Source organism: Homo sapiens, chromosome 6, assembly GCF_000001405.40.
Source record: "Homo sapiens chromosome 6, GRCh38.p14 Primary Assembly".
NCBI lineage: Eukaryota > Metazoa > Chordata > Mammalia > Primates > Hominidae > Homo > Homo sapiens.
In genome coordinates, this window is record NC_000006.12 from 167646703 (window position 1) to 167661150 (window position 14448).

A 14448-nucleotide genomic window follows, 5' to 3' on the forward strand; every position below is an offset into this window, starting at 1 on the left:
CGGGACAGTTTGTGATCACCATCACCCACAGGACCGTCTATACACTGACCTGAGCGGTAGTAGTGTGGTTCACCTTGAGATTGTATTTTCTACATTTTTACAAAGCAAGTAAAAATAAAAGAATAAACATAAACAGAACATCTGGCACCAGAGAAAGAAATTCAGACAATTCACAAAGTTGCGAAGGAGGGGAGACAGACACCTACACGAATTTGTTACAATTGTTATAAACTTTCTTAATATCTCACTGTCTGGACACTTGAGTCATTAATTCACTTTTTATCACAGAAAAGTTTAATATTGGACTTTAATTTCTTCAAGTCTTTTTGATCAAGAAACCTCAATATTACATCACAACCTCAGATTTTTATCAATCCAACTTCCTGTAAGCCAACAAAGAATATTAGAGAATTCAATGGAATTAATAGTAAAAATCGTCCAAATGAGATTTTTAACTTTCCCCCAAATTTTAAGTTAAGCTGTTTCTTTAGTTTCACATTATTGGGCTGCCAAAGAGCCAACTCGTGAAGGCATCAACACATCTGGAGTATCCTGCAAGTTAACGGGAATACCATGTCCACACTTCACTTCCACCTTCAGGGCTCCCATGGTGACTCCCAGTCATTGCTAGCCCAGGATCAGAAGTTTATATTTCCTCAAAAAACCAACACTGATCATTCAAAAAATAAAGAGAAAAGATGCAAATTTTGACTGAGTTTGGTAAGCCATGCCATGACTCCAAAACCGTTTTTGCATTTTGTGACCAATTTACAGAAACAGGAAGGAAGCACAGTCACATTCCTCTAGATGACTCAAGGAATAGAGTTTAACAAAGCTCCCACAGTAGGGTGTGATTTTGTCAGAATACAAAAAAGCTGATCAATGGCTGCTTTTTCATTTGGACCTAAATAGGACTGGGGCCAGCGATTAGTTCTGGATTCCAGGGGCAGAGGAAAGCATGCTGACCGGTGCACACATTATCGTTGTCCAGGGGCAGAGGGGAGCATACTGACCGGTGCACACATTATCTCTATTCAGGGTTAGAGGAGAGCATGCTGACCAGTCCACACTTTATCACTGTCCAGGGGCAGAGGAGAGCATGCTGACCAGTGCACACACATTATCACTGTCCAGGGGCAGAGGAGAGCGTGCTGACTGGTGCACACATTATCACTGTCCAGGGGCAGAGGGGAGCATGCTGACTGGTGCGCACGCATTATTGCAAGGAGAGCATGCTGACCGGTGCACACATTATCGCTGTCCAGGGTTAGAGAGGAGCATACTGACCAGTGCGCACACATTATCGCTGTCCAGGGGCAGAGGACAGCATGCTGACCGGTGCACACATTATCGCTGCCCAGGGTTAGAGCAGAGCATGCTGACCAGTGTGCACACATTTTCGCTGCAGCTCATTGTAGTTATGGGGAGTTTTTCACTTTGCTTTTCATTTTGCAGCTGAATGCATGTGAGACAAATGTCCCTACCTGAAGGCTCCTTGAGCTCCTGGCCCAGACCCTTCGATGACCACCGCCGTGAAGGTCATTGGTCTTCCAGGAAGGGAGCCAGGCCCCCTGGGCCTCTTTCTCCTGGGGGGTGTGGCTCAGCAGCCCCCACTGGAGCTCATTACTGAGCAGCTTCTCCCTAAGCCTGAGGCACCCCTCCCTTCCTTTTCTGTCTCCTTCTGTACCCAGTGATTGGCCACCTCCACTTTTTCTTGGGAGTTGGTGGGCAAGAAGGGAAGAGGAGTTAGATCATGGCCAATTCAACTCCTTTTGAGACATTTCAATAAATTTGAATAATTTATTTCAATAAGGAACTGTGCCCTCCTCCTTTGCAGCTCAGAAATGCTGAGATTTGAGAGTCGGTCTAGCACCCAGCACCGAGGCCACTCTCTGTTGGGTCTAAGAATCCCTTCAGGGCCTGGGAGACACCCAACTGTGTCCTTTTCCAGAGTTCTTTGCACTGTTTTCCACTCCTCTTCCCCCAACTGTTCTGGAAACAAGTGCCAAAGTACATGCCACATGGAAGTAGCTGATAACCAGCTCCGTGTTTCCTGCTAAACTGGGACAATTGAAAGTTAAATTTTCACATAAACCATTGCCCCAGCTGGGGCAGACCCCAGGCCTGCCTGAGATTTATTTCTGCAAAGTCCTGGAAAACCCAGTAAACAGTATGAGAGTCCCCACAGTTGTGCGGTTGTGAGGAAAGCAAAAATTATGAAGCTGTCCACCAATAAAGGGACAGCCAGACACCCCTCTCTGCTTCAATGTCATGTCTGACTCTGCCCAGTGTGGCTACGTCTTTGGAAGTCAGTGCATCACGGAGCTGTCGCTGCAACAGGCTGTGGGACAGGTGACTCCAAAACTCCAACCTATGCCAGGAAACTCGATTCTGTGCTCACAACCTGCAGGTCCACAGTGGTTCATGTGATTAAAACTGACCCGGGATAGGCCGGGCACGGTGGCTCACAGCTGTAATCCCAGCACTCTGGGAGGCCGATGTGGGCAGATCACCTGAGGTCAGGAGTTCAAGACCAGCCTGGCCAACATGGTGAAACCCCGTGCCTACTAAAAATACAAAATCAGCTGGGAATGGGCGCGGTGGCACGCACCTGTAATCCCAGCTACTGGGGAGGCTGAGGCAGGTGAATCACTGAACCCGGGAGGTGGAGGTTGCATGAGCGGAGATCAAGCCATTGCACTCCAGCCTGAGCAAAAAGAGCAAAACTCCGTCAAAAAAAAAAAAAAAAAAAAAACCCGAAACAAAATCAAAACCTGGCCTGGGGCAGGTGGCTGTTTTGTAAGCGAGGTTTGCCTGGTCTTGGGTGCAAGCTGCAGGCTGGGTTTAAGTCTTCTCCTAGTGCCTCTCATCCTCCTTAGACGCATTCTTCTCAGGAGCCCAAGGTCCGAGCCAAGCACACGATTCATTCAGAGCTTCTGATCACATCATGGCCACCCACACTCCATTGGCCAAGGCCAGTCACATGACCAAACCCAAAGTCTGTAGGGCAGGGAAGGGGGAGCGGAGGGCAATATCTGCTGATACTCAGCTCAACACAGAAGGGCTGGTACAGCAGCTCCTCACTGGCTGGAAGGTTGAACATTGGTACACAGTGAGAACTAACTACAAAATAAAATACAAATCTCGCAGGAGGCATGATCCCGCATGAGACGGCTATTCTACCCTCACCCACAGAAACAAGGCTGGGAAGGTCATCTTCAGTTGGCAGTGGACGAGGAACGCAACACAGACCATGGCAAACCACAAATTCCCAGAAGATGATCTGAGTATCAGAGAGAGGCCCTTGGGAAGGCTGACACAGACATTCACAGAAGCTACCTAGGGTGAAAGGCAGGATCACGTCACGTAAAATTCTACTGGGAAAATGACACCAACCCCCCAACGCCCATTTGATTCCTTTCTCATTTCTTTTAAGTACTAGTCAGAAGTGAAAACTTAATTTTCCTGTATATGTGAGAAAATACATTTATGTGCCTATCTTCTGATTTTCACCTTTCAAGATAATGTCCCAAACCAAACTGGTTATCACTATTTTTTTGATTTTCTGGTACTCCCTTTAAGCAAATTCACCGTAAGTGAATAACAAGGACCTTCCGAATACAGGTACAGAGTGCAGGCTCTGCAACCAGGAGACTTTGGTTCCAATCCCCATGCGTCTTTGATCACTGTGTGATGTCTGGTGTGTTATTGAACCTCTCTGGCTGTGTTCTCACCCACTCCTCATTGAAAGGATTAGATGGGGCGATATATTTAAAACAGAATTCCTAGCATGTGGTAGCACTCAGTAAATGCTAGGTGTTACTGTTAAGATTACTAGACCATTCTTGGCACTTAAACTTTCATATATTCTCTTTATTATTTTAGGACATCTAATTGTAATAAAGTTTATATAACTGAACTAAGCAAATGTCCCGAACCAAAGCTGCCTACACGTTTCGGACGATACCTTTACCGGGCTTTCTGAAACTTTTTTATGGAAAAAGATTTTTCTGGAATTTTTCATGGAACTTTTGCTTTCCATAAGCAAAAGAGGATAAAAACACAGCAGAAATATGTTATTAATGCAAAAACTTAGCATGCACTGACAGGATATAATTAACTATCTTCCGAAGTTCCATGCAGCTGGGTGTAAAACACACGTGCTCTGCGATGCTGTGGGAAGCAGAAAGTGCTGTGACAGACAGAAGGGGGTGCTGGAATTCAGGCCGCTGACACGTGGAAGAGGGTGTCCCCCAGCCCTCCCTGCACTCCGTCCATCCCCCCGTCACCTCCATGTGTGCTCAGGACGGGAGCAGCTGTGGGCAAACAGATGCTGTTGTGAAAAAAAAAACAGAGGGAAAGGAAGAAGTGGAGGTGGGAGGGGGCCCACTGCTTCTTACACCTTGCTACTGCAAAGACATCAGAGTCTATTCTGAATTTTTCAGCATTTGAAGTCAAACCAGTCAAAGTGCTAAAGCTAATTATGTGAGCAGGTGGCTGTCGACACTTTTCAGGGAGAAAAATATGTGTGCGAGTCCTGCCAGCCTTCACAGCCAGCGGGTCACCGAGAAGCTATGTGTGTGAGGCTGAGAAACCCACACAGGCAGTGAGACAGCTCAGCCCTGGGCAGGAGAGGGATCCCAGGCGGAGGGGGCGGCCTGGACAGAGCCATGGAGACACAAGAGAGCAGGGGCGTGAGTGTGAGAGGGAGTGTGTGGTGTGTGCCTGTGTGTGAATGTGTTAGTGTATGTGGTGTGTTTGTGAATGTGTGTGTTGTGTGTGCCCTTGTGTATGTGGAGTGTGTGTGTGTGTTTGGTGTGTGCACGTGTGTGAATGTGTGGTGCATGTGTGTATGTGTGTGCAGTGTGTGTGTGGTGTATGTCTGTATGTATGTGTGTGAGTGTATGTGTGTGAGTGTATGTGGTGTGGGTGTGTGTGCATGTGTATGGAGTATGTATGAATGCGTGTGTGGTGTGTGTGATATAAGTGTGTGTGTGGTGTATGTGAGTTTGTGTGGTATGTGTGGTGTATGTGTGAGTGTATGTGTTGTGTGAGTGTATGTGCATGTGTATGGAGTATGTATGAGTGCGTGTGTGTGTGGTGTGTGCGTATGTGGTGTGTGTGTGCATGTGCGTGTGTGGTGTGTGTGGTATGAGTGTGTGGTGTGTGTGTGGTATGAGTGTGTGGTGTGTGTGTCAGTGTATGTGGTGTGTGTGCATGTGTATGGAGTATATATGAGTGCGTGTGTGGTGTGTGTGTGCATGTGTATGGAGTATAAGTGCGTGTGTGGTATGAGTGTGTGTGTGTGGTGTGTGTGTGAGAGTGTATGTGGTGTGTGTGCATGTGTGTGGAGTACATATGAGTGCGTGTGATGTGTGTGTGGTATGAGTGTGTGTGGTGCATGTGTGATGTGTGTGTGGTGTGTGTGTGTGTGTGTGGTATGAGAGTGTATGTGTGTGGTGTGTGGTGTGCGTGCGTGGTGTGTGAGAGTTTATGTGGGGTATGAATGTGTGTGTGAGTGTGTGTGTCTCTTGACCTGCAAGTAGCCCAGCATTGCCTACACGTATGTTGCAAGATGGAAAAGAGCAGAAATGAAGTGGAGAGGGCAGAGGGAAAGTTAAAGGGGCTGTCCTGGAGGTCAGCGCTGACATGCAAGGCGAGGGATCAACCCTCTCCGAATTGGATGACAACGGGCACTCGTCCAGGAAAAGCACACGTATGTGCACATTCACACAGAGGCGCGTCCAGCATAATACAATCGGGGGTACTCACATACCACAAGCAAGCAAGCAGCTCCCGCGTTTTCGCCAGGCAGAGGGGCTGCGGGGAAGACAGCGCACCAGTCTGTCCCCACGGTGGGATGCAGAAGGGGACTCGCAAGGGGAAATTGAGAGGAGGATCCCAGGATGGCCAAGAGTGCCCCACCCCCACGACCACTACCATGAAAACAGAATGCACACTCCCCCCTCCGCCTCGCCACAGGCCCCCCATGACTTCAGACAATAGAAAGTGAGTTCATGGCAAACGCCCACGACTTAAGTTGCAGCTCAGAGGAAGCAGGCGTAAGCCGAATGGAAGGGGAAGAATCCACACCGTATCAGAACCACCAGGAGGGCTGGACGGGGCTGATAAGAAATCAGAGGGCCACAGGGAAAAGGAAGAAGGCGGCACGGGGCGCTAGACCACGGCCCAGCCTGGGAGCAGCTAACCCATGGCCAGGCGGAAACCCCCACAGGCACTTCCCCAGCTAAGAGGATGTGATTGCCATTGGCCAGGGGAGGGCAGGTGAGGCGGGGCTGTGGTGGTGTTGCAGGAAGGGACGGAGAGGCCCCATAGGGAAACAGAACTGGGTAGAGCCCTCAGAAGGCAGCTGTCAGGGAAATACTCCTGCCCACAGGGGCGATGGTGTTGGCAACGGCATCGAGACCTGAACAGGCTGTGGTCCGGCAGAGCGGGGAGGTCGTGATGGTACTGGCCGGACAGCGGCTCTGAATATGGCGCATTTGTGAGACGTCGTGGGCATCTATGGCATGTGTAGGACAAAGGCTGGCTATTCCTCCTCGCCTTCCCACTTTGACTTCAGATACGGCGTGTCATCTCCCGTCTTCCCCTTGCATCTCTGGACGCCCGTTCTTTACTTTCTCCCCAACTTGTGCTCCTCTGCCTGGTGTTACATGTCAGAACTCCTAATGGCTTGATCCCAGACTTTCTTCTCTCTTCATCCTATGCGGCTGAGAAATCTCACCGTGACTCCAGTTACCCTTTAAGTGAAGGTGACTCCCAGACTCCTAACTCTGGCTGCAGCCTCTTTGGTAAGCTCAGAGTCTGCTCATCTAACCCTGATGTACAACCCGAAGTCAGCATACCCACGATGGAAGTGCTAACCTTTACGTCCCCCAACAGACGGTCTTCCAAGGTCCCGTGTGGGTACCTGGTGCCTGCAACCGTGCAGCTCTGCAAGCCAGACTGGGACAGCACTTTGGGCGACTCCTGCCGCCTTGCGCCCAGCCCAGCTCGTGTCTGCGTGTTGCCTCCCAAGTGTCTCCGGAATTCGACCATCTCTCTCCGTCTCCACAACCACCATGCTCGTCCAAGCTCCCATGCCCATCGGTCTTCGTGAAGGTTCCTGCACCTTCCCAACTGCTCCCTCCACATCACTCTGCTCCCCGCGGAACACCTGGTGTGCTGCAGCCCGAGCGAGTTAGGAGAAACACGCTGCTCCCGCCCCATGCCACTGTCCCACTTCCTCTAACACCCGATTGCCCTGCACACTCGGGATGTGCAGGGCCCATGGACATTTTTTCAAGGTGGGGAGTCATCCAAAGAGAAACCTATAAGATTATTTAAACTAAACTCTGAGATTAACAAAACAAAAACAAACAAACAAAAAAACTCTCAAGAAAGCAGACTCTTTTCCACTGGCCAAGAACAGCAAAGCACACAGCCCAGACAGTGACCTCGGACAGGAGGACCATAGACAGGACTCCAAGAAGCAGAGCCCAGAATTAGAGACAGAAACCAGGCCACATTGTTTACAGCCTGGGACAGGCCCTCTCCTGAGGTTTGTTTAGTTACGTGATCCAGTAGTCCACCCACCTTGTTTTTCCTAAACCACGTTGACTCAGGTTTTCTGTAAAATAAACTAAAAGAATCACATTATACTTAACATGTAGCTGATCACAGCATTGACCTCTTGGCAAAATGTGTCAATAGCTTCCCATGACCCATGGTTCTTAGGATAAAAACTAAAACTCCTTAATATGGCCGCCAAGGCCCTGATGGATCTGGGCCTGTTTACCTTCCCAGCCAAATGGCAAAGCTCTCTGTGCCTGCTCTCACCTCCAGTAACATTGAGCTTGCCTCTGGGCCTTCACACAGTCCTCCTCCAACACGGTCTTTGCTCCGGATGCTCCTCCTCACTGCTTCATCCCCTACCTCCTCCTAGTCATTCACCTTTTCCTCCAGAGAGGCGATCCACATGAGATTCCTGTCCCTTGCTTTCATAGAATCATGCTCCTTTCCTTCAAAATAATTTGCACCATTTATAATTAAATAATACTTAGTGTGATTATCTGATTGTCTGCCTCCCGCACTAGATAGCAAACTGAGCAATTATTGTAGATATCTGTGTCTGCTCAAAACTGCATCCCCAGCACCTGACATACATGGTGGGTGCTGGAAAATGCCTAGTGGGTGGGTGGATGGATAGATGGATGGGTGGATGGATGGATGGATGGATGGATGAATATATTGATGGGTGGACAGGTGGACACGTAGATGGATGGATGGGTGGGTGGATGGATGGATGGATGGATGGATAGGATGGATGGATTGATGAGTGGACAGATGGACAGGTAGATGGATGGATGGATGGATGATGGGTAGATTGATGGGTGGACAGATAGATGCATGGATGGGTGGATGAATGGATGGACAGATGGACAGGTAGATGGATGGATGGATGGATGGATGAATGCCTGGGTGGATGATGGATAGATTGATGAGTGGATAGACACGTGGATGGGTGGATGGATGGAATGTATGAATATATTGATGTGTGGACAGATGGACAGGTAGATGGATGGATGGATGGGATGGATGGATAGATTGATGGGTGGACATATGGACAGGTAGACGGATGGATGGATGGATGAATGGATGGATGGATGGATAGATTGATGGGTGGACAGACGGACAGGTAGATGGATGAATGGATGGATGGATGACTGCATTGATGGATGATGGATAGATTGATGGGTGGACAGATAGACACGTGGATGGATGAATGGATGGATGGATGGACTGATGGGTGGACAGATGGACAGGTAGATGGATGAATGGATGGATGGATGGATGATGTATAGGTTGATGGGTGGACAGATAGATGTGTGGGTGGATGGATGGATTGATGGGTGGACAGATGGACAGGTAGATGGATGAATGGATGGATGATGGATAGCTTGATGGGTGGACAGGTGGATGCATGAATGGATGGATGGATGGATGATACATTGATGGGTGGACAGATGGACAGGTGGATGGATGGATGGATGGATGAATGGATAAATTGTCAAAGAACTTTGGATGGAGGAGTCAGAGACAGGAGCAATGAGAAGTTTCCGGCTTGAAATACCAGGTAGAGATGGTATCTGAGCTAGAAGGAGGAGAAAGGTGGGTAAGGAGGTGTTATTTGCATGTTACTATTTAAATGGAGGGGACACCAAGTGAGATGAAAGTTTGGAGACATGTTTCCCTCAATCACTGAGAGAAGCACTATTCTATCACTCATCATCGAGTAAAAATATATTCAGATAATTTCAACCAGCCACAGTCTTTTCTCCACTGACTCCACAAACACACCTGAATCCAGATATTCCCAGGCCCATCTTTGTCGCTAGCTCTACCTGGCTCCTGTCACTGTGCCCCCTTTCTGCACCCCCCACCAACTTCACAGCCCTTCCAGCTGCCTGCCATTAATAACTCTGCACACAGAGCAATCCCTCTAAAACTTCACTAGACCCAAACAAGAAACGTTTATAATTTTACTTAATAAAGATAAATGTGAAAATCTAGCATGTACACAAATGAATGACTAAAAAGAGTGCTTTTGCTCAAGACTGAAAAGAACATATTGCAGTCTTGATGTTCTTAAAGATGAGTGCGATCACACAGAACCATATATGTTGCCAAGTTAAGGTGTAATTTGAACATAGCATACCAAGAGCTAAGTCAAGTCAGTGGTATTTTCAATGTAACCTAATTAAGTTAATTTTAATTCCCCTTGGCATTATCTTCATGGTATATTATTTCTGATTATTCAAAAACAGGTGATTACAAAGACAGATTATTTTAAATATTCCATACAATGGGAAAAGTGCTTATTTTATGTTAATTGTTTAATTTCGAATTATGATTGAAGCTTTTTCTCGTGACGTTTTCATCTTGGTAATGGTTGTTTTTAAAATATGGAAAGATTATGTGACACACCATTACTTTTAAATATAGTTTATACTGATGTTTGCTAGATGTAGACACAGAATTTATACTGGAAAATAGAGAGAGAAAGTAATACCTCCAAATAATTCAATTATCTATAATTTCATGTCATCAGTATAGTTATACCAGGATCTCTAATATTGTCTTCCTAATCCAGCTTAGTAGTTTCTCCCTTAGAAGTCACACATTTAAACAAAAAAATAAAAATAAAAATAAACAAAAAACTCCTAGTAACTGAAAATACGTACGGAAAGGCATTTGGCAACTCCACTTATGGCTGGAGCATAGAAATTGGAAAATGTTTAATTCAAATTAATTAATTAATTAATTAAAATAAACAAAAAACCATGCTGCTCCATTCATCCACAAAGGGAGAGTTGGGACTGCACCCAGAGGGGAATGAAGGTGGAATTGTAGACTCACAGGATTACAGCTCCCAGGGGCCACCTGTGGAGCCTCGTTCTTCCTTCTTCCTTAATACTCAGGTTCCATAGCGTAGCTGAACACATGGCATCCTGGAAAAGAAGACAGCTCACTGACATGGTTTGGATTTGCATCTCTGCCCAAATCTCATGTCAAATTGTAATCCCCAGTGCTGGAGGTGAGGCCTGGTGGGAGGTAATTAGATCGTGGAGGTGGATTTCCCCCTTGGTACTGAGTGGTGATAGCGAGTGAGTTCCCGTGAGATTTGGTTGTTTAAAAGTGTGTAACACCTCCCTGCTCCTCTCTTCCTCCTGCTCCTGCCATGTGAGGTGCCAGCTCCCACTTCACCTTCTGCCATGATTGAAAGTTCCCTGAGGTCTCCCCAGAAGCAGAAGCCGCCATGCTTCCTGTACAGCCTGTGGAATGGTGAGCCCATTAAACCTCTTCTCTTTATAAATTACCTAGGCTCAGGTATTTCTCTATTGAAGTGTGAGAATGGCCTGACACACTTACCCACCTTCCCTGCAGCTAAGGGCTGTGGACTGAACTGGGTCTTCCTAAATTCCAAAGCTCAAGCCCTACTCGCAGTGGGATGGTGTTTGGAGGCGGGCCTTTGGGAGGGAACTAGGTTTAGATGAGGTCGTGCAGGTGGGTCCCCACGATGTGATTAGGGTCCTTATCAAAGAGGAAGAGTCCGGAGCTTGTCTCTCTCTCTCCGCCTTCCTGAGGAAAGGCCAGGTGAGGACACAGCAGGAAGGCCGCCATGTGCAATCCCAGGCAGGAGAAACGGACCACCTGATTCTCACCAGGTTCTCACCAGACCATGCCAACATCTGGATCTTGGGCTTCCAGGCTCCAGAACTGTGAGAAATAAATTCACCTTGTTGAAGCCACCCATCTGCAGTACTTCATCGTGGCAGCTTGAATTGACTAAGACACTGAGTGTGGTCAGAGGTGTGTGAAGGTGTGGTTAACAACTACAGTAGTCCCCCCACCACAGATTCAATTTCCAGTGTTCCTGTTAACTGAGGCCACAAAATATTAAATGGAAAATTCCAGAAATCAGCAATCCACAAGTTTTAAATTGCACACTGTTCTGAGTAGTGTGATGAGGACTCTCACTGTCCCTCATCTCCTTCCCCAGAGATGAGTCCTCCCTTTGTCCAGCGGATCCACACTGTGCACGTTCCCTGCCCGTGAGTCACTTTGTAGTCACCTTGGTTATCAGATCAACTGTCAGAGTCTCCCAGTTCAAGTCTCCCATTGTTCAAGTCACTCCTGGTTCACTCAGTAATGGCCGCAAGAGACTGGCCATTTGGTTCTGCCAAGAAGAAGCCATAAAGTGAAAAGGTGTCAGTTCTCAATAAGCAAAGGAAAGAATCGTATGCTGAGGCTGCTGAGATCTACAGTAGGAATGACTCTTCTTTTTTTTTTTTTTTTTTTTTTTTTTTTTTTGAGGCGGAGTTTCGCTCTGTCGCCCAGGCTGGAGTGCAGTGGCGCGATCTCGACTCACTGCAAGCTCCGCCTCCCGGGTTCACGCCATTCTCCTGCCTCAGCCTCCCGTGTAGCTGGGACTACAGGCGCGCGCCACCATGCCCGGCTAATTTTTGTATTTTTAGTAGAGACGGGGTTTCACCGTGTTAGCCAGGATGGTCTCGATCTCCTGACCTCGTGATCCGCCCGTCTCGGCCTCCCAAAGTGCTGGGATTACAGGCGTGAGCCACCGCGCCCGGCCGGAATGACTCTTCTATCAGTGAAACTATAAAGAAGGAAAAGAAATTTGTGTTGGTTTTGCTGTTGCATCTCAAAAGACAAAAGCTACAGCAGCAGTGCATGGTGAGTGCTTAGTTAAGTTAAAAAAGGCATTGAGTTTGTGGGTGGAAGACATGCACGGAAGCGTGTCCTGATAGACAGCAAGTGGGTCTGGGAGTATGGCTGTGTCAGGAGTCCACAGCGGGTCTTGGAACACACGCCCCAGGGATACAGGGGTACCACTGTGCAGGGGTGTCCTCAAGAGTGGCTCCCAGGGCTTACCTCCCTTCTTCTGGCTGCAGTGCCGGAGTGCGGGCCCCAGCTTGGGCTGTCATTTCAGACTGAGAGCTGGAAGCCATTGAGGTTGACTCAGCAGTGAGACAAAGGAGCCTGTACCCTGAAGCTCATATGCAGTCCCAGGCTGCTGCCCTATGATTGTGTTTAAGACAGTGGGGTGTGTGTGTGAGTGTGTGTGCATGTGTGTGCAATGACCACTTGCAGCCAAACTCAATCCTGATTGACACATGGCCTGAGGACTGGGGCCTGGCTCCTTGCTCCTCTCCTTGGCCCTGTGTTCAGTCACTGCTCTGGAGCTGGTCTGCAAAGGGGCTCAGTGCCCTGGGAGGATGCTTCCTCTTCTTGCTCCTGTGTGATGAGGTTTACAGGATGGCAAAGCAGCTTGGCAATCGAGCTGAAGTGTAGATACACACACACATACACACATACACACACACACACACATACATATGCACACACACACACACATATTCATTTATACATACACATATACATATACACACATATGCACACACATATATTCATTTATATATACACATATACATATACACACATGTTCATACATATGCACACACATATATGTTCATATATACACACATATACATACATATATACGTGCACACACATATATTCATTTATATACACACATATACACACATATACATACACACATATACATACATACACACATATTTATATATACACATATACACACATATATACACACACATATACATACATATGCACACACATATATTCATTTATATACATACACTTAAACATACACACACATACATATGCACACACATATGTATTAATTTATATACACACATACATATATTCATTTATATATACACACATATATTCATTTACATGTATACACAGATATACATACACACACATATACATACACACATATATTTATATACACACATGTACTCATTTATATATACACACATACAGTTATATACATATACACATACCCACATACACACACATACATATATATACACACATGTTCATTTATAGACACACATATATATTCATTTATATATACATGCACACATATATACATTTATGTACACACATGCCCACACACACACATATATTTATATATAAAACCATATAAAATAATATATAAGTAATATACATAAACAATGCTTATGTCAATATTTCTATTTCATTTCATTAATTCATTGGAAACTCTGTTCATCTGTTAACAGAAAGCAAGGTGACAAACGTCTGTGTATTCCAAATGAATCAGATTTCAAAACTGACTGATTCTATAATAACAAAAAGTCAAAAGGTAAACTGTGGCCACCTGAGACTTCCCCAGTTATGGTGAAGGTGGGTAATTGTGGGCCCAGACAGGGTGTTTACAAAGAAAGAGAAGCCAGGGGCTTAAAATAACTGCACGTGGGCTCCAGGCGTATTCTAAACTTGTGAAACAGCATGCTAGTCAGATGAATTTGGGTTGTGTGGAAAAAGAAATATTTAAATTCCTCTCTCTTCTCTGAGTGCTGTGGAATTCTTTTTAATAGAGAAAGATTAAAGCGAATGCCAGAGGGGTTGGTTCCAATATGAATATTTATTAAATGAGCTGAACAATGTATACTGGGTCAAAGGGGCCCCCGATAGGTCCATTCTCTTTGTAAATCGTAAGAAGGCCCTTTCAGTTAAAAATTGTGAAGAGTTAAACTAGAAAGGGAACCATAAGGTCAGTCTTTTTCTGATGTCCTAAACCCACCCAGCTTCCTGAGATGTGCACTGTAGCCAACATGCTCCTCATCTCCTGGACATCAGTGATGTCGTCTCCAAGATCAAACGAGTCCAGAAAATTCCGAAATCAATTTCTAACGGGGCAACCCTAAATTGACCAGGGCATTCTATAACAGCGCTGGTCCCAGCCTGGCCACCCACCCCAGGATGTGCTGGAGCCTGCTTGCACCAGCTCCTAAGAGCCAATTAGTAACTTCTGGG

General features: G+C 46.6%; 2 annotated features.

Moving 5' to 3' along the window:
- Window positions 993-1193: a silencer, noted in NCBI's record as "peak6319 fragment used in MPRA reporter construct". NCBI's record gives its function as "represses an SCP1 promoter by STARR-seq MPRAs in K562 erythroleukemia cells {active_cell/tissue: K562}" and the evidence as "EXISTENCE:reporter gene assay evidence [ECO:0000049][PMID:32103011]".
- Window positions 5608-6596: an enhancer, noted in NCBI's record as "H3K4me1 hESC enhancer chr6:168052990-168053978 (GRCh37/hg19 assembly coordinates)". NCBI's record gives its function as "activates a minimal SCP1, AML or CMV promoter by ChIP-STARR-seq in primed H9 embryonic stem cells {active_cell/tissue: H9 hESC(primed)}" and the evidence as "EXISTENCE:reporter gene assay evidence [ECO:0000049][PMID:30033119]".